At 46.7% G+C, this 21,650-nt stretch overlaps 1 protein-coding gene and 1 long non-coding RNA gene across 10 annotated transcripts in view, besides 2 other annotated features; one reads left to right on the forward strand and one right to left on the reverse strand.

Annotated features, from left to right (window-relative positions):
• The window catches only part of KIAA1549L (KIAA1549 like), a 297,995-nt gene extending 277,851 nt beyond the window's left edge, over positions 1–20,144 (forward strand). For 7 of the 8 annotated variants that reach the window (XM_047426719.1, XM_005252848.4, NM_012194.3 and 4 more), the window contains 4 exons: positions 2,054–2,151; positions 4,792–4,940; positions 6,905–7,056; positions 13,915–20,144. In XM_047426719.1, coding sequence (XP_047282675.1) covers positions 2,054–2,151; positions 4,792–4,940; positions 6,905–7,056; positions 13,915–14,196 — 681 coding nt within the window. In that variant the 3' untranslated portion in view covers positions 14,197–20,144. Of the gene's footprint in view, positions 1–2,053; positions 3,571–4,791; positions 4,941–6,904; positions 7,057–13,914 lie in introns of those variants that run through there. The other variant, XM_047426721.1, reaches the window with a different exon arrangement.
• LOC105376617 (uncharacterized) lies at positions 315–17,029 on the reverse strand. Of its 2 annotated transcripts, XR_007062647.1 has the most exons (4): positions 16,957–17,029; positions 15,566–15,687; positions 1,323–1,487; positions 315–1,073 (listed from the first exon to the last, which is right to left on the reverse strand). It is a non-coding gene; the product is annotated as an uncharacterized LOC105376617 (long non-coding RNA). The 2 variants fall into 2 exon arrangements; XR_007062646.1 differs by lacking the exons at positions 315–1,073; positions 1,323–1,487; positions 16,957–17,029 and adding an exon at positions 11,258–11,606 and having other exon boundaries at positions 15,566–15,647.
• Positions 1,199–2,398: an enhancer, noted in NCBI's record as "MED14-independent group 3 enhancer chr11:33676703-33677902 (GRCh37/hg19 assembly coordinates)". NCBI's record gives its function as "activates an origin of replication core promoter dependent on BRD2, BRD4, P300/CBP and CDK7 cofactors, and independent of MED14, by STARR-seq in HCT116 cells {active_cell/tissue: HCT116}" and the evidence as "EXISTENCE:reporter gene assay evidence [ECO:0000049][PMID:35650434]".
• Positions 2,515–2,604: an enhancer, noted in NCBI's record as "active region_4582". NCBI's record gives its function as "activates an Ori minimal core promoter by ATAC-STARR-seq in GM12878 lymphoblastoid cells {active_cell/tissue: GM12878}" and the evidence as "EXISTENCE:reporter gene assay evidence [ECO:0000049][PMID:35858748]".
• Positions 20,145–21,650: the final 1,506 nt, after the last annotated feature.

The raw sequence follows: 21,650 nt of genomic DNA on the forward strand, positions 1-21,650 counted from the left end.
TCTGTCTGGTCAATTATTATTATTATTATTTTTAGACGGAGTCTTGCTCTGTCATCCAGGCTGGAGTGCAGTGGCGTGATCTCGGCCCACTGCAACCCCCAACTTCTGGATTCAAGCAATTCTCCTGCCTCAGCCTCCCGAGTAGCTGGGATTACAGGTGCGTGCCACCACGCCCAGCTAATTTTTTGTATTTTTAGTAGAGACGGGGTTTCACCATGTTAGCCAGGATGGTTTCGATCTTCTGACATCGTGATCTGCCCGCCTCAGCCTCCCAAAGTGCTGGGATTACAGGCGTGAGCCACCACACCCAGCCTGGTCAACTATTTCTTAAAAACATTTTTTACGTTGTTATTTTTTGTCTTGTGTCTGGAAGTTCCAAACTCTAAAGTCCTTAAAGGTCTGAATCTTGTTTGTTTTTTCTACTCTTTTTAACTTCACTTTTCTGGTGTGTTCATGGTCTTAGATCATGAGCTCCACTTGCTTCATCTTAATCGGTGCTAATCCTGAGAGACTGCTTTAGGGATACTTTTCTCCAACAAGGATTTACAATTGCTTCTGCCTGAGCTGGGATCATTGCCATCCATCCTCCCTCCCTAGAAGGGACCAATGCTAGCCTCCTTTTGTGTTGGAGGTGAGTGCCTCAGGTTCAGCCACCTCACCTCGTTCTGTTCCAAGGCTTGATCTCTTCATCAACTGTCAATATGGCGTTTGTTTTCCAGGCCACTTCGCCATTCGTATTTGCTTACCTTCAGTATTTTCACCTCTGGTTTCAGCTCATGGTTTTGTTTTAGTTTGCTGAGGTGTGGGGTAGGGGAATAGTCCCTTGGGATTTCCCTGACATCTTGCAGTTTCACACTGCATTAAAAAGTAGGTTTAATCCTGGACCTCGTCGTTATTGAGTGGGTTGGCCCTTATGAAGATGTAGTCTGCCATCATGCTGGAGGGAGAAGACTTCATTATTCAGTTGAAAGAATCCTGTTTGTGGATCCCCTGTGCTGCTGTTTTTTGTCCTGATGCCTTCAGGTTTAAAATCCTGTCATCCTCCTCCTTGAGAGATCTGATGGGCAGAATACCTGAAGAAAGAAACGGATGAGAACCGCAAGTGAAGCTTTGTCTTCACAGAGAGCATTTCTAGATTTTCTCTTGCTAAAGGAGGTTGTGGCCTGGCTCTTTCTAATCCTGTCTGTCTCTGTCTGTTTTGCTTTTATCCCCTCACATGTTGATAAAAGTCTTCACTTTTCTGGTGACAGTTCTAGTCTTTTATCTTTGAATAGTGCTTTATAGATTGCAAAAGACATACACACACACACACACAGACTTACCTGATCTTCTCAGCAGCCCTCTGAGCAAGCATTGTTGTCCCCATTTCAGAAGAGGTCCAGAAAGGTCACCTGAGTTGCTGAAGGACCTAAAGTTTGCTCATCAGGACCTTCACACATACGTCCTCACTCCAAATCCATTGCTTTTCTCCACTAAACCTGCTCTCCCTTGAGAGAAAGTAAAACACAATCAATGATTCATCCATTTAATCATCTAATATTTATTGATAACCTGTTATATACCAGGCACTGTTCCAGGTATAAGGATATCTCTGACAACAAAGCCCTTGCCCTTATTACACTCTAGTTGGTGGCAGATCGTAAATAAACAAGCAACCATATAAAGTCAGAGAGTGATCGTTGCCATGATGAAAAATAGATAAATGGGGCTCTAGGGGAGTCTGGGGCTGGATGAATGAAATGAAGCGTGAAGCCCTGGGAAGAATGGTGAGGAAAGCACCCAGGTGGAAGAAAAGCCCAAGGTGAGACAGAACTTGGCGTGTTCTGAGAATGGTTGGAGGGCCCTGTAAGTACAGTGGCCCCAGCGAGAGTGGTGGGAGGTGCAGTAGAAGAGATGGCTGGAAACATGTGAGGGAAGATCTTAGAAAAAAGTCTGAGTAAGGAGGCAGAGTCTGACCCTTGGAAGTTTGCTTCCTCCTCAAACAAGAGGAACCTGTGTGCTGATCGACCCTGGGTGTTAACAACTCTCCCTGTATTGCTTGTCTCTTTCACAGGCTTACAGGTTTTCCCAGCTTCCTGAGATGGTCATGGGCTCACCGCCTCCACCCGTACCTCCCCGGACTGGTCCTGTGGCTGTCGCTTCTCTCAGGCGGTAACACGTTCCTTTCTTTGTTTTGTTTGGAATATTTGGAAAAGGGTCAGTCCTATGTACCCTGACCTGACAACAGCACCGGCAAATTTCCTTCATGCTCCACCCCATCCAGGGTGTGTCACCTGTACAGACAACCATGCGCCTGTGGCATCCCAAGTACCATGAATGAACAGATCACGGTGCTTTTGTGCTTTTTAACCAGAAAGTTCTTGAGAATCCACAGTTGAAGAAGCCCAAGGTCAACTGCCCCATACCTGGAAAGCCTCAGACCGTGACCTTGAACATCTAAAAATGACTCCAGCTCAGGCTACCACAACAGCTGCTACCAAAAGTCCCTTGGTTATTTAAGGGTGGTGTCTGAGAAGCCAGGGAGGGGCAGGCATGTCTGGGCATCCACCCCAACTCTTGACTTCCAAGAGGGAGAGATTGAAAATGTATGAAGTCAGATATCTCAATTGCAACACATATGTTAAGCATGTTCTTTGCTTTAGGAAAATCTAACGAGGGCATGTTTTTAATAAGGATGGACAAGAAGAACAAAAGCCCTGAGCACTGGGAAAGGCTAGAACTGTGCCCTGGGGTACATGTGGACCACTGCCCTGGCCTTCCTACTCCAGCTTCCCCCAACATACAAATCACATCCTATCTGTGAACCATGGGTCTGGGCTTTGTGAATGGGGAAGAAAAATAGGAGTTTCCCTCGGAATAGGAGGGACCCCGCTCTCATTGCCAGTGGTTTAGAATGCGGAGGGGCGTAGACGTCACTTCTTGCCACCAGCCGAGCCTGGGTGGAAAGCAGCAGACCCTGACCTGCTGTGCAGCCCCAGCAGTTGGCCTTGCCCCTCCAGCCCCTGTTTCTCTATCTGTAACATGAGCACAGGGGCCTAGATGATCTCAAAAGCTCCAGGGTTCCCCAGAAAGGGGTCTCAGAATTGCTTATCGAGCATAACTCAGAAATTTTCCCAGGAAGGGTTTTCTGAACAAGTAGCAGATGCCTGGAACAGTGTGTGGGAAGCCAGGGCTGTGGGAACAAGCAAGCAGAGAGGGAGGAAGGGAGACCCCACCCTGATGAACGGTCACATCATACAGCCTCCACATTGGACCTTCCTAGGAGAGTAGCAACGGGCTTCTTGGTTACTCCTGAGAGTCCTGGATTGGAGGGGCCTCATACCAGCAATTTGTGGGAGGTTTGCTGAAGGCCAGCATCAATTTCTTATTTCTTCTTTCAACCACCTGTCTCCTCCCAGGCCCCTCCACGCCATTTGCTATCTTGCCACATATCGGGGGTGGGGGGTGCACTGCCCTTCATATAAACTCAGGATTAGACCAGGAAGGAACCTTTGAGATGAGTTTGTCTACCCCTGTCATTGTATAGATGAGGAAACAGGCTTGGAAAGGGAACGTAGGCTGGGCATGGTGGCTCATGCCTGTAATCCCAGCACTTTGGGAGGCTGAGGCGGGTGGATCATTTGAGGCCAGGAGTTTGAGACCAGCCTGGACAATATGGTGAAACCCCGTCTACACTAAAAATACAAAAATTAGGTGGGCGTACTGGCATGCACCTATAATCCCGGCTACTTGGGAGGCTAAGGTGGGAGAATCGCTTGAACCCAGGAGGCAGAGGTTGCAGTGAGCCGAGGTGGTGCCACTGCACTCCAGCCTGGGTGACAGAGTGAGACCTTGTCTCAAAACAAAAAAATAAAAATAATGAAAGGGAAGGTAGCTGGAACCCAGACCTCTGCCTCCCATGTTCTCCCTTGCCGTGGCTGTCATTTGCTCTGTGACAGCCACTGCTTAGCTCAGAGGGTGGCCCTGTGGGGGGCCAGGCCTGCTGCAGCTGTCTTTGCCTCTCTCCCATTGGGCTAATTTTAGGGGAGCCTGAAGTCCCTCTGTGAAACTGCCTCAGGCAAGGGTTGATGCTTGTGAAGGAAAATGGTCTGTGGCTGAAGGACCCTTTGGAAAAACCAGGAGATGCCCACGTCTACAGAGCCTAGGCTGCCCTCTTCTTACACGGCTTTCTGAGCACTAAGTGGAAATAGGATGTGTTAAATGGGCTTGATTCTCTGATTGCCCGGGGAACAAAAAAAAGTTCTGTTAGAATGTCCACTGCTCCCTGGAGCAGCCCGAGCTTCCAAGTCTTGGGCTTGGTGCTTCCTGCCAGTTAGGAATAGGGAATGTGGCTCCCCAGCTGTCCCGGGTCCCCTTTCTGGTGTCGGTGAGAAGGGAGCAACCAGGCACTCCAGAGAGAGCCTTCCCACTGGCTGCTGATGATGTCATCACCCCCTGGGTCGACCATCCCCAGCTAATACCCAAGGCTAATTGCTTTTCTTATTTTATGTGGAAATTAAATGTTCTACCACCCAGAGACATGAGAGCCACCCTTAGGGGAGAACTGACCTTGAACGTCTAAAAATGATTTCAGCTGAGGCCACCATGACAGCTGCTACAAGTCTGGGTGCCTCCTGCCCTGCTGGTGTTCCTAGAAGTCCGTTTGTTATCTGGGAATAAATCCAGTCCTGGGGACCTCATGAGGCTTGGAGGCAGCTGTCCATGCCCAAAGGTGACGGGGCGCACTCCTCCTGCTCGGGACGCCGCCTGAGGTCTGGGACAGTGCTAACGCAGTCCCTCTGCCCCATCTAGATCCACCTCAGACATCGGCAGCAAGACCAGAATGGCCGAGTCTACAGGGCCCGAGCCGGCCCAGCTGCACGACAGCGCCTCCTTCACGCAGATGTCCAGAGGCCCTGTGTCCGTGACGCAGTTGGATCAGTCGGCTTTAAATTACTCAGGTGGGCAAGAGAAAAGCCCGAGTGTGCCCCCCACCACTGCTGCTGTGCCCTGTCCTCCCTCAAATCCCCAGTTCCAATCTCCTTTCTACCTACCACCCTCAGGAATCACAGCCACTGCATTTCTGGATCCCCTCATAACTTCAGGAGCCCCAACTAAAAGAGCTGCTGATTTTCTTTCTTTTAAAGATCTGAAATTGGGCAAAATCCCAAGTTATGCTAAAGTCAGCATGTATGTTAACATTTTGCCAGACTTCAGTTCAATTTTTTTGGTTTTGTCTTTAAAGCATTCCAGATACAGCCATCCACCCCCATTTCATTCCCCTTCTCTCAAAAGGTGATCCCGGGCTTCAGGTGATAGGTTTTAATCCTTTGCCACATATGTATGTTTATATAACAGTATATATTAATGTTTAATGTATTTGAAATTTACATAAATGATATCATGGCATACATTTCCTTTTGTACTTTCTCTATTTAACAGTGTTTTAAAAAATTTCTCCAGGTTGCTATACACATACTATATAGATCTAGTTCATTCATTTAAACTGCCATGTGGTATTCTATGATAAGCCACAGTTTAGACTTTTCCCTATTGATGGACATAATGGTAGTTTCCAGTTTTTTGCTATAACAAACAATGCTGAAATGAACATTGAGGTTTGTACATGACGTAATTGGTTTCTTAGTTTATCCAAACCATACCTTTTAGGCTAAAACTGCAAGCACTCAGTTGCCAGCACTTAGTAAAGCATTCATGGTGTCTAGAAATTCCACCAGTGAAGTCCATTTCTTTTGGTTCTTTTTCTTGGCGCTTTAAAAATACACACTCTCCTGGGAGGAAAACACCTGACCACCAAGGTGTTATTTCCTCTTGCTGGCAGGTCAGGGGTGTTGGGATGGGGATGGGGGAGTTGGACCACCACTTCTGTAGAAAGCCAGGTCTGAGTCCCAGCAGATGATGCCCTTTCATTCTGACTGCGAGGGTGAGTGGGGCTGCATGGCAGGTGGAGGTCTGCTGCTCCCCCAACCCCTGGAGACCTTTGTCCTCTCATCCCCTAGCCACGGCCAATCCCAGAGTCCTCCTCTGCTTCCCTAGATTCCCCAGGCCTGGGCAGATGCAGGCCTAGTGGGCGGGGTGCTGGCTGGGCCCACAACTCCCTCTTTAGGGGATGAGAAAAAGGGAAAATTCCAGAGCACTACTAGTGCATGCTGCATTTGGTGAAGTTGGAAAAAGACTTTCCTTCCCCAGGTGAGTACAGACTCCACCCCTGGCAAAGGGAATACTGTCTGGACTTTAGCCCACTTGGCCTCTAGGCCAGATGCTCTTGAGCAGTGCACCATCTGCCCAGCTGTGCACAGTGGCTCTAGAAGAGGTCCACAAAGAAAGAAGACCAGGTGGCCTGGCGCGGTGGCTCATGTCTGTAATCCCAACACTTTGGGAGGCCGAGGCAGGCGGATCACAAGGTCAGGAGTTCGAGACCACGGTGAAACCCCATCTCTACTAAAAATACAAAAAATTAGCCAGGCACAGTGGCAGGCGCTTGTAGTTCCAGTTACTCAGGAGGCTGACGCAGGAGAGTGGCGTGAACCCAGGAGGAGGAGTTTGCAGTGAGCCAAGATCGCGACACTGCACTCCAGCCTGGGCGACAGAGCGAGACTCCGTCTCAAAAAAAAAAAAGAAAGAAGACCAGGTTTCCTCCATCGCATCCCACCTGCCTCTGTTGCTACATCACCTGGGATCTTAGCCATCATGGCCAGGTCCACTGCACCTTAAATGAAACTAAATTCCCCAGCAAATGTTACAGCCCAGAGCAAGCTCCCCTCAGCTCAGACCTGATTTAATGAGACTTCAAATCCAGCAGCCAGCCAGGGAGCCAATGAAACTGACTTTATTTGGCTCTTGGGTGGCTGGATCCCTCAGACCAGCCTCTCTTAACCTCCCTCCTCCATTTCCTCCATGCCAGGTAATACGGTGCCAGCAGTGTTCGCCATCCCAGCTGCCAACAGACCTGGCTTCACCGGCTACTTCATCCCAACGCCTCCCTCATCCTATAGGAACCAGGCCTGGATGTCCTATGCAGGAGAGAATGAGCTCCCGAGCCAGTGGGCAGATTCGGTGAGACCCTTGCTCTTCACCTCATAAAACTTTACCTGCTTAACACATGCCAAAAAGTAAATTAGATAAAAGGTTGAGACTGAAGGTTTTGTTATCTCAGCCTCCTCACAGTACCCGGATGACTAAAGTCAGCCATTTTAAAGGAGACAGATGGTGTGGTGAGAGGGGATGTCCCCTTGACAGAGGACCTTGAGACCTGCCTTCTAGTCCAGCTCCCACCTCTTCCTAGCAGGACGACCTTAATCAAGTACATTTTTATAATAATAACTACCATTTGTTGAGTATTTTCTATCTACTAGACACCTTGTCAGATGTTTTGTTTATATTATTTAATCTTTATTACAATCTTAGGTAGGTATTATTCCCGTGATTACTCCCATCTTGCAGATGAGGAAATCAGGGCCGAGTCAGGGGATGCCACTTATCTAAGGCCACACAGCTAGGAAGGAAATGCCAAGGACAGAATTCAAACCCACACCTGTTTGGCTCCAAAGCTTTTATTAAATTCGTTTCTTTTAGCATAATAATTCTGTAAAGTTTTAGAAGAAATGTCAGAAAATGAAGGATTAGAAACCCAAGATTGGGCTGGGTGCCGTGGCTTATGCCTGTAATCCCACCACTTTGGGAGGCTGAGGCGGGCAGGTCACCTGACATCAGGAGTGAGAGACCAGCCTGGCAAACATGGTGAAACCCCTTCTCTACTAAAACCACAAAAATTAGCTGGGCGTGATGGTGAGTGCCTGTAATTCTAGCTACTGGGGAAGCTGAAGCAGGAGAATCACTTAAACCCAGGAGGCAGAGGTTGCAGTGAGCCAAGATCGCGCCACTCCACTCCCGCTGGGGCGATAGAGCAAGACTATGTCTCAAAAAAAAAAAAAAAAAAAAAAAAAAAGAAACCCAAGACTGAATTATTACATTTATTAATTTTCCAGATGACCAAGTCTTACCCCTTTAATTTCCAAAACATTTAAAAATATATGCAGCTTGGCATAAAAATATTTCTGAAATGAATGCTATCTTCCCTCTCCTCCGTTAAAAGAGTATACAATGTAATTTGCCTTTTATGAATGATTCAGTATCCTTATGATGCCTCATTATACTAAAATGGCATTTGTAGGATGAACTCTCATGGCTTGTAGGATTATTGACCTTATATTGTGAAATATCTCCAAACTACTATAATTTTTGGAGTTACTATCATGGCCCAGTATATTTTTTTTCTGACTTTGCTTCTAGTGGCCACTCAATATTGCTGTTAATGTCCCCACATCTAGTAATATGCCCACCCTTAAGTGTGCTTTGCATCATGTGCCATTATCTGCAAATGAGGCTTATCTGTGCTCATTAGAATTGTTTGTAAACTTGGAGTAAATAAGCTCTAAGAGAGGAACTAGAGGGATCCCCTGCTGTTCAGTCTGTGAATCTGAATGTGGGACTTTACGGCATCTGTTTGTATTGTTTGGGGGCCTTTTTTGTGTCCTTTGTCATTCTCTGCTATTCCACATGGCTGATACCACTGGATATGATTTGAGCAATTCAGAGGTTATTGATTTTGTAATTCCACTTCATCTGAAAGTTATGCAGACTTTTCAGAAAGTAGATGATGTTTAACTTGAACTACTTAGGCAGTAATTCCCTTACGCCTGCAGCTTTGACACTTCACCTGTTGTGTGGAGTGTAACCCTGGGCACCAACTGGAGTTGGTGAAAGTATTTTCCAAAACCTTGACCCCTGTGTTCAAGACACTTAAAATGATAATTTAGCCAGGCTTATAACTACATCTAGATGCCTTTGGGCTCATAATTGCCTTAAAGATGAAGAGAAAGGAACCAAGCAAATGGAAATGTAACCTTCCTGCCATGATGACTGTACTGGACCCTTCTGGGCTCATCTCCCAGTGTGAAGGAGAACCAATGTCCTATTAGTTGTTTTAAATTAAGAGGAAGATGATTGCTGCAGCCTAATTGGGCCTTTCCTGGAGCCCAACTATCACCTGCAATTAAGCAGGGAGGCGTGCCCATGAAAGGAGCAAGGTGAAACGGGTGATTTATAGCATATGAAAATAAGTGCAGGAGGCTCAGAGAGACCAGTTGTCAGCTTGAAAAGGGTCCAGGAATAATGCACACCTTCCACATCTATGTGAGAAAGCAAAGTCCCTCACCAGCATTTGGATGTCTGACCTTCCTGATCCCAGCAGCTAGCTTGGATAAAATCACCTGGACCTGGGATAACAAATAGGTTTCATCCTTGGTGCCAGATGGAGAAGGATTGGGAGGGGCTTCCAGGCTCAGCAGGAAACTGTGCTGTGATAAAGTTGGTGATGTCTGCCATGGGCACTGGCTAGGGAAGTAGTAGTATTTGCCAGCCCTGAATTTTGGCAGGAAGGGCATGATGGCTCCAGCCTGCATCTACTATAAGGGAGGAAGAGTTTCTCATGTCATCTTCCCTGCTTCTGCCCTGCTGCTGAATATTGCCCTGAGGATACTCCAGTGGGATCAGGTATCCCTTGCCTGTCCCAGCCACCAGCACCAACAAGCTTGATACCATAGAGCTGAGGGGTCTCAGGAGTTGGACATTGGCTCTCTCAGCCACAGCAAGTACAGTTAGCTGAATTTGAAATGCAGGGAAAGGGAATGTGGTAGCTTCCTTCTCAAAAATTTGACCCCAGCCAATCATTCTTCAGTGATTTTCAGACTGTGCTCCTCAGAACCCCAGGTTCTGAGAGACTCCCTGCTCTTGCTCTGCACAATTCTGAGCACTGGTGTACAGCAATAAGCAAGTGAGGCACTCTCCACCTTCATGGAGTTGACAGCCTGAGACAGGCAATGGCATCAGGAGCAATAACTGTTACGCTGGAGAAAGTGCAAGGAAACATTTAACAGGGACCCCTAGGCAATTGTTGGGCTGGGAAAGGTCTCCTGAAAGAAAGGAAATTTGAGCTGAGATCTGAAATACGTACCCCATGTCCTGGTCTTGGTTCTTTGGTGAGCCCAATAACCTGTACCTTCCCAGCTCATGTGGCCCAAGGACTCAGACAGCCCAACTCTGGTTTTCCTCTAAGATACAAATGAAACATATCAGTGCTTGTATATAAAGACCCACTCTTAGTGCCATTTTGTCTATCTTTGCTGGGTCTTGTGGGGAAATCAAAGTCCCAACTTGTAACTTGGGACATCTGTTCTGTTACTTCTTTCCTGGCTTGGGTCCTCATCAGTTCTCATCCGACCCATTGAGAAAGCCTTAGAACTTGTCTGCTCCCTACCTCCAGTGGGTCCACCTCCAGGTGTCCTTTCCAAATATAGACTCCCCCTCTGCCTGACACCCATCCGTGGCTCCCAGCCAGGCGTCAGCCGCACATCTCAGGAACCTGCCTTCTCAGGAGGGATCACCGGAACATCCAGCAGGGAGGAGAGGGGGCTGCTTTCCTACCACACATCCCCCATCTAGAGTTTCTGAGTCATCACCCCATCCAATTGGTGATGTCCCACTCGATTCATATGTTCAAATCCTAACCCCCAAGGTGATGGTATTAGGACATGGGACCTTTGGGAGGTGATTAGGTCATGAGGGCGAACCCCCTAATGAATGGGATTAGTGCCCTTAGAAAAGAGGCGTGAGAGAGACCCCTGACCTTTCCTGCCATGTGAGAGGATAGTGAAAAGAAAGACAGCTGTCTCTGAACCAGAAAGTGGGCCCTCACCAGATAGATACAGAATCTGCCGGCACTTTGATCTCGGACTTTGCAGCCTCTAGAACTGTGAGAAAGAAATTTCTGTTGTTTATAAGCTCCCCAGCTTATGGTATTTCAGCATAGCAGCCAGAACAGACTAGGACTTCCTGCTCCATCCTCCCTTAGGAGCCAGATGAGCATTGCTGTTAAGCATGGGAACAGGCTGTATTTCTCAGAAGTGTGACATTGAAAACGGGTAGATCAAACGGGACATGCAGACTCTGTAGCCTGATATTCAGCAGCTTATGAATCCAGTCCTGTCTGTCTTGCCTGAGCTCCTCCCACACTAAACACACCCTCTCTGGTCAGCCTGAGGTCACTGATGCTTCCTGGGGACACTCTTCTTTTTGTACTGTTATGGGATCTTTGGGGTATCAGTTTTCTTCCTGGAAACCTCTGTGGCCGGTGGTGCTTTTGCCCGAGTTCTTGTCCTGGGTCCAGGAAGAATAAGGTATGCAGACACATGAAAGGTGAAGAAGGTGAAAAGGAGGTTTATTTAGTGTTAGAACAGCTCAGAGGAGACCCACAGTGGGTAGCTTCTCTCTGTAGGCAGGTCATCCCATGGAGTGTTCAGCTTTCAGCAAAGAGGTGGCCCTGGGGAGGGTGGCTCCTCTCTGCCCACTGCTCATTCCACTGTCTGCTGCTCTCAGCAGAGAGGAGGCCCTGGAGAGCGTGGCTCCTCTCCGCAGCAACTTGTTCAGACATCTCTGCATGTCTCTGAAGCTCTCAGCAGGGAGGGTAGTTCCTCTCTGCTGCTGGTTGTCCCATAGTCTCTCTCTCTTCTGCCCTGCTCTGACTGAGCCCCAGGGCTTTTATGGACCTCAGAGGGGAGGAAGTGTGTGCTGATTGGTCCATGGGTGGGACAGAAGAGGTACCACGAGTCCCCACTCCAGCCTGAGGACTGGCAGGTGGCCCCCAACCTTCAGGCCCCCCCTGGCCTTCTGAAGGTAGGGCCTTGTGGGAGACCCGCCCTCTTCCACCCAGGAGTCTGTCTGTCCGCCCCACCCCTTGCCATTCATGGCCCTGGGGGCTTGTCCCCAACCCCACTCAGAAATCAGAGCCCCTACAGGGGGAAGAGAGAGGCCAGGCAGCAGAAGCAGACACCCCCAAGCCAGCAGGGAGGGGGGCACCTTCCCAAGATGCTGAGGATGCAGGCTGATGCCCAGTCTTGTGCCTGGGAGGGTGGCTGCAGCTGCACCCAGGGAGCTCCAGACCTGCCAACTCTGAAGGGGTGGAGTTCCAACTTGTCTCTGGCTCCTGCCTGCTCCGTGGAGGGGGAAGGCCAGGTCTGCAGCTATGGGTGGGGTGGTTGTAGCAGTACCCAGGGCAGATCCTGCCTGCTTCTGGCCCCCTCCAAATCCACAGGGAGGCTCGAATCCACAGCACAATTTGGGTGGCTGTAGCCCCACCCAGGAGGGCAGGGCTCCTGCCTGCTCCATAGAGCAGGAGGCCTGGGTCTGCAGTCATGGTTTGGGTGGCTGCAGCAGCATCCAGGGGAGCTCCTGCTCCAACTCAGAAGGGGCAGGGCTCCCACTGGCTCTATGGAGTGTGCAGCCCTAGCCACGCATCCCTGCTGCAGCCAGTATGATGGCAGCAGCCTCTGCCATCAGTACGCCCATACATTTTGATTTGATGATTTACATTTGATTTTCCCTTTGCCCAGAATCCCCCTCCCACTGCATCTTCCTGGAGGGACCCTGTTCAACTTCCAAACTCATCTAAGCTGCCGAGTCCTCCCATACATACTTCATTCGCCATAGCACCCTGTGCCTCTGTTGTCTGTGGGTGCTTATTCTATAGTGTTCCAATTAACATCATGGGGTATGTGGACTATCCTGAAACAGCATCCCTGTATGTGCCACTGTTTCTGTGGGAGAATCGACTCTAAATTCAAAATTACTTACTTGTCCTTATTCCTAGAAGTTTACATATTTTAAGCATAGGACTCTGTGTCTTCCACTTTTGATGAAGAGAGAAAAATGTTTCAAGAAACTAAAATCATATCCCAGATCCAAGACGTTGTAATGCAGTGATTAATTCCAGCCCTTAAAGCAGACAGACCTCTGCAAAGAGTGTCTTGGTAGCTTGTCGCCTTAGACCGTGGCACTCTTCAGTTTCCTCATCTGCAAGGTAAGGCTAATACCGACCTCCTAGCTTATTGCTTTGAGAACTAAATGAGATAATGTGTGGAAAACCCTTAGCAAAGGGCTCAGTCGATGTTGTTATTAATCAACCCCTGGGTTCCTCTGGGGTACATAAACAGTTCTGTTTGCTGGATTGTACTTATATGAATAAGGTAACTAAGTGCTGGGCATGGTGGTACCCACCTGTAGTCCCAGCTACTCAGGAGGCTGAGGCAGGAGAATCACTCGAGCCCCAGAGTTCAAGACTGCAGTGAGCTATGATTGTACCACTGCACTACAGCCTGGATGACAGAGTGAGACATCATCACTAAAAATAATAATAGTAATAAAAATAAGGTAGCCAGGTAGATTCAAATATAGACTCAGATATATATTCCTAAGGTTTTTCAGCAAAATATATCTTCCTAAGGTTTTTCAGCAAAATATATATTCCTAAGGTTTTTCAGCAAAGTTTAAAACACCTATTTAATTCATCCAAACAGTATATCTAGTGAGTGAGTCCAAATTACCTTTTTTTTTTTTGAGACGGAGTCTCACTCTGTCGCCCAGGCTGGAGTGCAGTGGTACAATCTCGGCTCATTGCAGCCTCTGCCTCCCGGGTTCAAGTGACTCTCCTGCTTCAGCCTCCCAAGTAGCTGGGACTACAGGCGCATGCCACCATGCCTGGCTAATTTTTTTTGTATTTTTAGTAGAGAAGGGGTTTCACCATTTTAGCCAGGATGGTCTTGATCTCCTGACCTCATGAGCCGTCCACCTCGGACTTCCAAAGTGCCGGGATTACAGGCGTGAGCCACCGAAATTACCTATTTTCTAAACAAACTGACTCTGAGTTTTATATCTATACAATGGTATGTGGCTTCCATTTTCTTCTAAGTTCTCTTCCATGTCCTCAGCCCCCTCCTGCTTCCAGTGTCAAGTGTGTCCTGTGACTTGAGCTCCTTCCTCATGCCAGGCCCTGTCCTTCTCTCCCCACGCCCTCTGCAGGTGCCCCTCCCAGGGTACATCGAGGCCTACCCCCGATCACGGTACCCCCAGAGCTCTCCCTCCAGGCTTCCTCGTCAGTACAGCCAGCCAGCCAACCTGCACCCCAGCCTGGAGCAGGCCCCGGCGCCCTCCACAGCGGCCTCGCAGCAGAGCCTGGCAGAAAACGACCCGTCTGACGCTCCCCTGACCAACATCTCCACTGCGGCCCTTGTGAAGGCCATCCGGGAGGAGGTGGCCAAGCTGGCCAAAAAACAGACAGACATGTTTGAGTTCCAGGTCTAACGCCTTAGCCCCGTGGGACTCTGGACTTCCAAACTCTGAGGACTCAGCCTTTGGGTTTCCCATGCCTACGTGTTAGGACTTGAGACATAGCAATGGGTGAGTCTTTCTCACCCTCCATTTCTGAAAAGGTGAACTATGGGGCTTCTGGGAACAGGAAACTCTTGAACGACTAGATTCTTGGCTCATCCAACTGATTGTGGGTCAAGTCCCTGGCTTGGGGCCTTATGTTTGATACTCTCTCATGTCAAATGTTTGAACTTTGGGCATGTGCCCTATGGAAGCTTAGTCACAAGAGGCACTAGCTAATCTACAGATTCCTATCCAATGCCACATTTTAATAAATCACCGGAAGCGGGAGAATGTAGCTCTTATCTTCGGTGACCTCTGCATGTTAACTCTGTTTCTGTGTTAAAGGCAATGCAGGAGTGTGGATTAAGCACCAGACTGTATTCTCATTCAACCATGACCGTGCGCATTAAAATCAGTTTGTAAGGGAGACACTGACTCCAGCCAAGAAACCTGAGCCCCTTTTTTTTAGGTTCATATTCAAAGTCAAATGAACTGGATGAAAGTCAGTACCAATGGCTGTGCCTATAAATAGACCTGATTCTTTGTTTCCCTCGTCAATTAAACAAAGGCCAAGAAAGAGAGAAGATGAGAGGGAATGGTGGATTTGCGTTGACAGATTTTTTAAAAGGTGTTGCCATTTTGGAAATAAAAGTCCCCTACAAGTTAGGATCTAACTGAAAGAGAATCGGTGCTAAGAGCTTTTAGGATCCTACAAAAGAAACACAGTTATTTGTGAAGGTTTTTCTTTGCCTTGTTTTGAAGGTGGCCTGAGAATGGAGCTTCTCTTTTTCTTGGGATAATAGATACATCAACTTTTACAAGAAAATCTCTGTCTCTTCAACAATGATGTCCAGTGTGTGCTGCTGAGTGGTACAAAAGGAAATAGTACTTGATTCCTGTTAGAAACAGGAGTGGTAGAACCACAGTCTTCCCAGGCCGCAGCCTCTGTTTATAGAAGCTTCTGAATGTAGAAAAGCTGTTGAATTTCATTTAAATGTAAATAACCTTTTAAAAAGCGTATGGAGTTAGCCAGTTCCCCCTAGTTAATGGACATAGGAAGACATTTGCTGAAATGGTAGGGTGGCCACTTTGTGACCATGATGTTGCAAGTTGCCCTCCCTGGCATGGTGAGTTGGCTTCCAGAGCTGTGGGTAGAGGACATCGCCTCACGGCACTGAGGCACCAGCCGCTGCCTACCCATCAATGCAAGCAAAACAGCTACTGACTTTGTGTAGCAGGGAGATTGGGGACTCTGGTTCCCTCGCCAAGTGTGGCAGCCTGTGCAGTGTTGGGGGCTTACTTGGTATCTGTTGGAGAATGAGGTCCTGTCCTGCTTTCACCCATGACCCATCTAGCTTCAGCTGTATCCATTTTCTTCTGAGCCCATCTTCCATTGTCCTCAACGAGTTTCTTTGGTCTTTACTGAAAGAAGATAGTAGAAATTTAAAAGTTGAGAGAAGACTAGAAATGGAACTGATTAGAAGGGGAGGTTCAAACTGTCAATGCACAGACTTTTCAAAGAAGTTGTTTATATTTTCCAATGGCAAACTGCCCTTTCTGGAATGTTCAGAGATGATGTGTCATGGAACCTTCAAACAAGTCTCTTGTTCGGATGATAATAGGTAGTGTCCTTTTAGTATGCTGGTTGATCTTTCATAGTGTTAGTGTTTTGTTACTTAAAAAGGAAATCAGCTATAAATAAAATGTATTTTTGTAATTCCCGTGTGTATATATGGTATATTTCTATCAATGGCCAGTTGTTGTAGTCCAAAACCTAAATCAGTTTGCAAAACACTGTGGACAGTGCGAGATTTTATTGACAGGTTAACACAATGCCTACGTCTATCCACATAGGCATTCAATGCACTTGAATGAACAAAGAGCCAAAGAAACTCAGCCTGTTCATGCAAATGGTATGAGTCTGATAAAATCAGCTACATTGTCCTGCTTTATCAATAATAATATTTCATTAGTGCAATGATATCAACCAGTACTTTGTCTACTTGGTAAATGCCTGGAAATACTGTATGTGAAAATGATGTTTCAAGATCTTACTGTAATTGAAGTATACGTAAATGTTTCAGAAGACAGTGTCTGAAATTTGGCTGTTTCAATGACTTACAGAGACTGAGTCTACAGTTTGCAGAGCTATGGCTCCAGAGTGCTAAGAGGGTGGAGTCACAAATCACTGTGGTCTTTACAGAGCCCCAGGAAATACTGAGTGAGTCAACTGAGACGACTAAAAAGATAGCATGCTAAATCAGATACTGTCTTAAACTAGACACCATGGGTTCAAGAATAGTATTAATAGATGAGAGGAAAACCTTAAGTTGGAAAGAAATCAGTCTGTTCATGTTATCCCACTCATGGGGAGACAGAGCCACTCTGGTCAGATTTTCTGTGAGTGAGATGTGGTCCCTTCCCTGAAGAATCTCCTAACCTCATAGAGGTGAGAGAGATGACTGGACAGCTGACTCTAAGAGATGGTCAAAAGTGCCTCAAGGAATTGAAATAAGGTTCCCAGAGAGCCCTGAGGAGGCAGCAATGAACAAACACCCTGTTCATCAGAACCCTCTAGATAGTCACAGAAGCCACAAAAGGACCTTGGTTGACCTTGGAGGAGGAAGCAGAAGTACCACGAAGTGGAGTGACTGGCCCAGTGATTCAGTCCCAACCTCCTGGTTCACGAACCTGCTTGCTTTCCATCTCGCCATGTGGCCTGCAGGCTTGTCAGTAACACATTTCTTTAGCTGTGCCTAGAGGTTTAAAAAAAAGATAAGGGTCATATGAAGAACTCCATAATGTTCTTGCCAAGAAAAAAGATGATTGAGTATATAACGAACTTCAGATACAGTGTATAGAGGATGATGCATTTGTGGCATAATAAATAGTTTTCAGTGCTGGTTTTGATATGAGTTTTCTGCATTCATGAAAAAGAAATGCATTTTGGCTTTTTCCAGAAAGAGTACCATCAAGGAAACGGAGACCTCAACTGCTGTTCTAGACTGTGGGGGTGCATTCCTGTCTCAGCACCAAGGATCCCAACAGGCAGGCAGGGAGGCCCTTGACTTTGTGTCACTGTGAGGCAGCAGAGTCCATGCTCTGCATCAGGGGAGGTGCAGTAAAGGTCCATTGTGTGGCTTGAGACCTATGATCTGAGGCTTGTGCATAATAAGATGGCAGCTGTTACCTACAGAGCAAGGAGTTTCCTCTTTCAGGGTAGATTATGTAAGAATCAATTCCCTGGTCCCAGGAGAAGTTTTATTGTGAGTTTGTTAATTTAAGAACTCACTCAGCAGAAGGACATGTAATGTCTGAGTAATCTTGATGGAAGAAAGGAAATAGATCTGTGATTAAAACACACACACACACACACACACACACACACACACACCCTACTTCGGAGAGAGAATGTAGAATGGAGGAGGTGAGGAATTTAACTAATAGAGATGCTTTTTCTAACAGGCAGAAATTAGAGAAATGGATCAAAAGATTTAAACATTGATTACATATAAACGAGTTTCCTTTTTTTCTACATAGCACACAGGTGCTCAACATTTAATGAATAATATAACAGATACTGTCTTAAAAGTTTAAAAACAGGATTTGTACTTAATCCTAAATTCCTCTTATCACACACCAGAAAATAATTTGGATTTTATTTACAAACTACATCCAAATACTCTTAAGGAAAGAGTGTCATTTAGCTTGGAGTAGGGACTGACTGGGGTCTAAGTGTTGGAAATTAAATTCTGCCATTCAGTCCAACCTCAAAGGTGTTCCAGGCAAGGAGTTTTGCAAGGACTAGAAACCCTTTCACACTTGAAGTGCAGGTGTTGGCTGAAAGAATAGAGGGACATTTCACAAACACAGAACACGGCTCCCCTACAGGAAAGGGATGGAGACAGCTACCTTTGCTCTTGCTCTCACATTCTCTGTCCTCATGGACTTTCTTCTCTGTTTCCCTCTGCCTATCTATCTGCCTGGTTCTCTTGCTTCTCCTGGCCAACCAGCTTTCTCATTAGTGCATATGTAGCTGAAAAATCCACCCCTCAAGAACCCACTCCACACAACCTTTCCTTTTCAGTACCCACCACGCTCTGACTAGCATCTCTGTGATGCCTAAGGCAAATTTTTGAGGATCTGATTGGTTTAGTTCATCTGCCTATGGGTGAGCCACCCTGGGGTCAGGTGCCTGTCCAATCACCTGTTACCAAGGAGGCAGGGCCGTGTCATTTAAGCATGGCCCCATGGACTGACCCTTTCAGCAGGGACTTTTATTGGGGGCTGGTACCCAGAAGAAGGAGCATGAGTGGGCAAGACCTTCAAAAAGAACCTACTACACACTGGAACTGACTAGTACTCCTGGGATGCCATGCCACGCAGCAGCCAGCACTCGGAGAGCAGTCCCCTGGATACTACCACACAGAGAAAAGGGGCATCTTCACTTGCACATCAGGTGAGGGTGCACACACTTGAAACTCTGCTAGACTGGCCAGAGCTGCCCCAGCCACTTCTCACCCCACCACCAGTTATTGATACAGCCGCTGGGTCTAGGAAGCGATTTCTGAACAAGGCCCAGTTAGCACAATGTCTTGCTCAGCAGACAATAAATACTTGTAAATTGAATTGCATGATCTTAGCTCAGGTGCTACTAATGTGGCTCACGGCCACACACTTGCATGGATAAGAAAACCAATGAGCCCCTCAACAGAGTCTTTTGAAACAAAATTGGTTTCAAGTGAAACTTACATTATTTTTTGGCTGTGACCTTCTGAATATAATAACTTAGTGTCCTGAGAATTGAAAGGCCTCTTGATTTCTTAGGTGAACTGTTACAGAATCCTAGCCTGTGGTAAATGCTAAAATGTAAGGTGTTTCTGAGAAGGAATATTTAGGAAATATAATTGTGCCACACACACATTACTTTAGAAGATATGCAGTTGCTCTGATTCTGCAGGTTTAAAAAAAATGGGAAGTTTGTGATATGGCAGAATCTGTCTCCATTGGTCAAACCATACTTCAGTGAGAGCCATTATAAGTGAAATCTAAAAATTGATCGTTTTCATTCTCTGACTTTGGTCAGACTTTTGCAAATTATGGAGAGAGGCCATCAACATATTTTACATAAATTACTGTGGCCCCATCTTATTTCTCCTCATTTCTTCCTTATGTTTAAACACGCCCCCATCTCACACACAAACTGAGAAAAGATTTGTATCAAACAGAATCAGAGGCATATGAATGGACTGGAAATTGTGAAAAAGGTATAAATATCCTAGACCTTGATCAACTCACTTTAAACTGGTCTCTGATTCCTCATCTGTCAAATGAGTATAAGACCCTCTGTACTTCCCATGGTGATTTTGAGGAGCACATGCATAATGTATCTGAAAATGGCTTGACAAGCACTTGAAGCCATTCTTACTAAATTATTAGTTTTGTAATTCGGTTTTATCCAGGAAAATATTTTAGCTCCTCCTATCTGCTGAATTAATTTATACAGTCACATGTTCCATGACACCATGTTTTGCCAAGGAAAAATAAAGAAATTCCTAAATTTGAAATTGCCCACAAGATCTAGCCTCATCTGGAGTTGCTGTTATTGTCCTTGTTGTCTATGATTTGGAGGATATGTAAGTACTTGTACATGTGCTTTAACTCTGGGTGAAAAACCCCAACCGGTGAGTCTTTAAAACCATATTAGACACATTGGGCAAAGTACTGAGCAGAAGCTTTGAATGTAGCTGTTGTTATTTTAATGCTTCGCTTTCTAATGAACTTTGTACGTCCTTAGCCTCTGCCGGGAACAGAGTGTTCATATGCTGTTAGAATTTTTTATTGTAAAATAAAATGACAAAGGCTTTCATACCCCAAAACCTGCCTGTTTCTCATTCTACCTCCTCCAGATGGTGAGATGGAATCCCTTTCACAAGCCAGCCACAAAACAGTGCCTGTTGGGGGTTGCTAAAGAGCCATTCCAGTCCTGGAGACCACATTCCAGTGTGGTCTCAGGAGCCATCCCAGCTTGGGTGATGAGCTCATGGGCCAAAAAAATGCTCACCCCTGGCCATCCACAGGCCTCAGAGAAGCAGTTTCAGCCTACCCATGACTTAGCAGCTAAAGAAAGATGTATTCCTGGGGCCAACAGGACCCAAGGGAGAAGAAGCCAATGTCCACTTAGGTGCCATTCTCAGAGCATAAAGAAGTCTCATCCAGGTCAGTGGCTCCCAAGGAGTCCAAGAATGACAGTGGTATGGGACACCAGCTCCCCAGACCACCCATCTGTCCTACCCTATGTGAGTCCCAGCAGTCCTGATGCCTGCCTTATGTTCAGCCCTATCCAGAGAACATATGTGGTGCCGCCTGCTCTGCCCTCTGGCTTCCGCCTATTGGACAGGAGAGATATCGACCCAGGAGTCACAAGCTCACAGGCTGACCAGCCACAAAAATGTGGCTCAACACATGGGCTAGGCCAACTGGATTCTCTCTCTAGGAAATACCAAGAGACAGAGTCTGTTATCAGTAGATGTTGAAATTGGGTGGTCAAGACTCAGAGAGGCCATGATGGACCATATTCAAAGCAAAGTTTTAAGAAGGCAGAATATTGAGTAAGAAGTGGCCTTGAGGCCAAGGAGATTTCAAAGGTAAGAAAGCCTGTCTCTTGTAATGAAAACAGACAAACCAACCAATTTCTGAGGCATCCCTGTGCCCTGGTGGTCAGTCACAACCCTGGGACTCTTATGGATCCATTGAGCTTGGGCAGCAACATGGTGCTGCTTCTCACTGAAGCCTAATTTGCTCCAGTTCTCTCCATGTACTTAGAAAGTACTTAAGAGACTGGAGGAGCAACTTTTTTACTCCACTCTCTGCTTCTCTGTAAAGAGGACTCAAATACGCACAAAAGACATTTCCAAAGCCACTATCTTGCTACAGTGAGAAATAAACTTGGAGCCCCTATGAAATGCTTTTTGTGAGGCTCACCGTGGGGTGAAGGCCATTGCAGAGAATAGTACAAGTAGGTCCAAGAACTGATGGGTTCCCTACTCTTCCATTTTTTTTCCTTCCTCCTGGACCCTGGTTGCTCTTGGCTTTCAAGGCAAATGAAATAATCAAGTAAAAGGAAGTGGTGGTGCCTATGTCAGTACCAGGAGTAGGAGGCAGACACAGGCACAGGAAGCTGGAAAAGGCATATTGCAAGCCCAGCTTCGCCTTGCTAAGTCTCCATCATAAACAGGAGAACATACTTCTTCCAAAGGACATTCTGTAGACTTCTGAGTAAATGTCATGCATCCAACTCATGAGCTCTGCTGGCCACTAGAAACCAGAAAGAATGTGCCTACGAAGGAGTGTGGAACCAAGTAATGGAAACATCGTTGAGGGTC

Source organism: Homo sapiens, chromosome 11 (genome assembly GCF_000001405.40).
Source record: "Homo sapiens chromosome 11, GRCh38.p14 Primary Assembly".
NCBI lineage: Eukaryota > Metazoa > Chordata > Mammalia > Primates > Hominidae > Homo > Homo sapiens.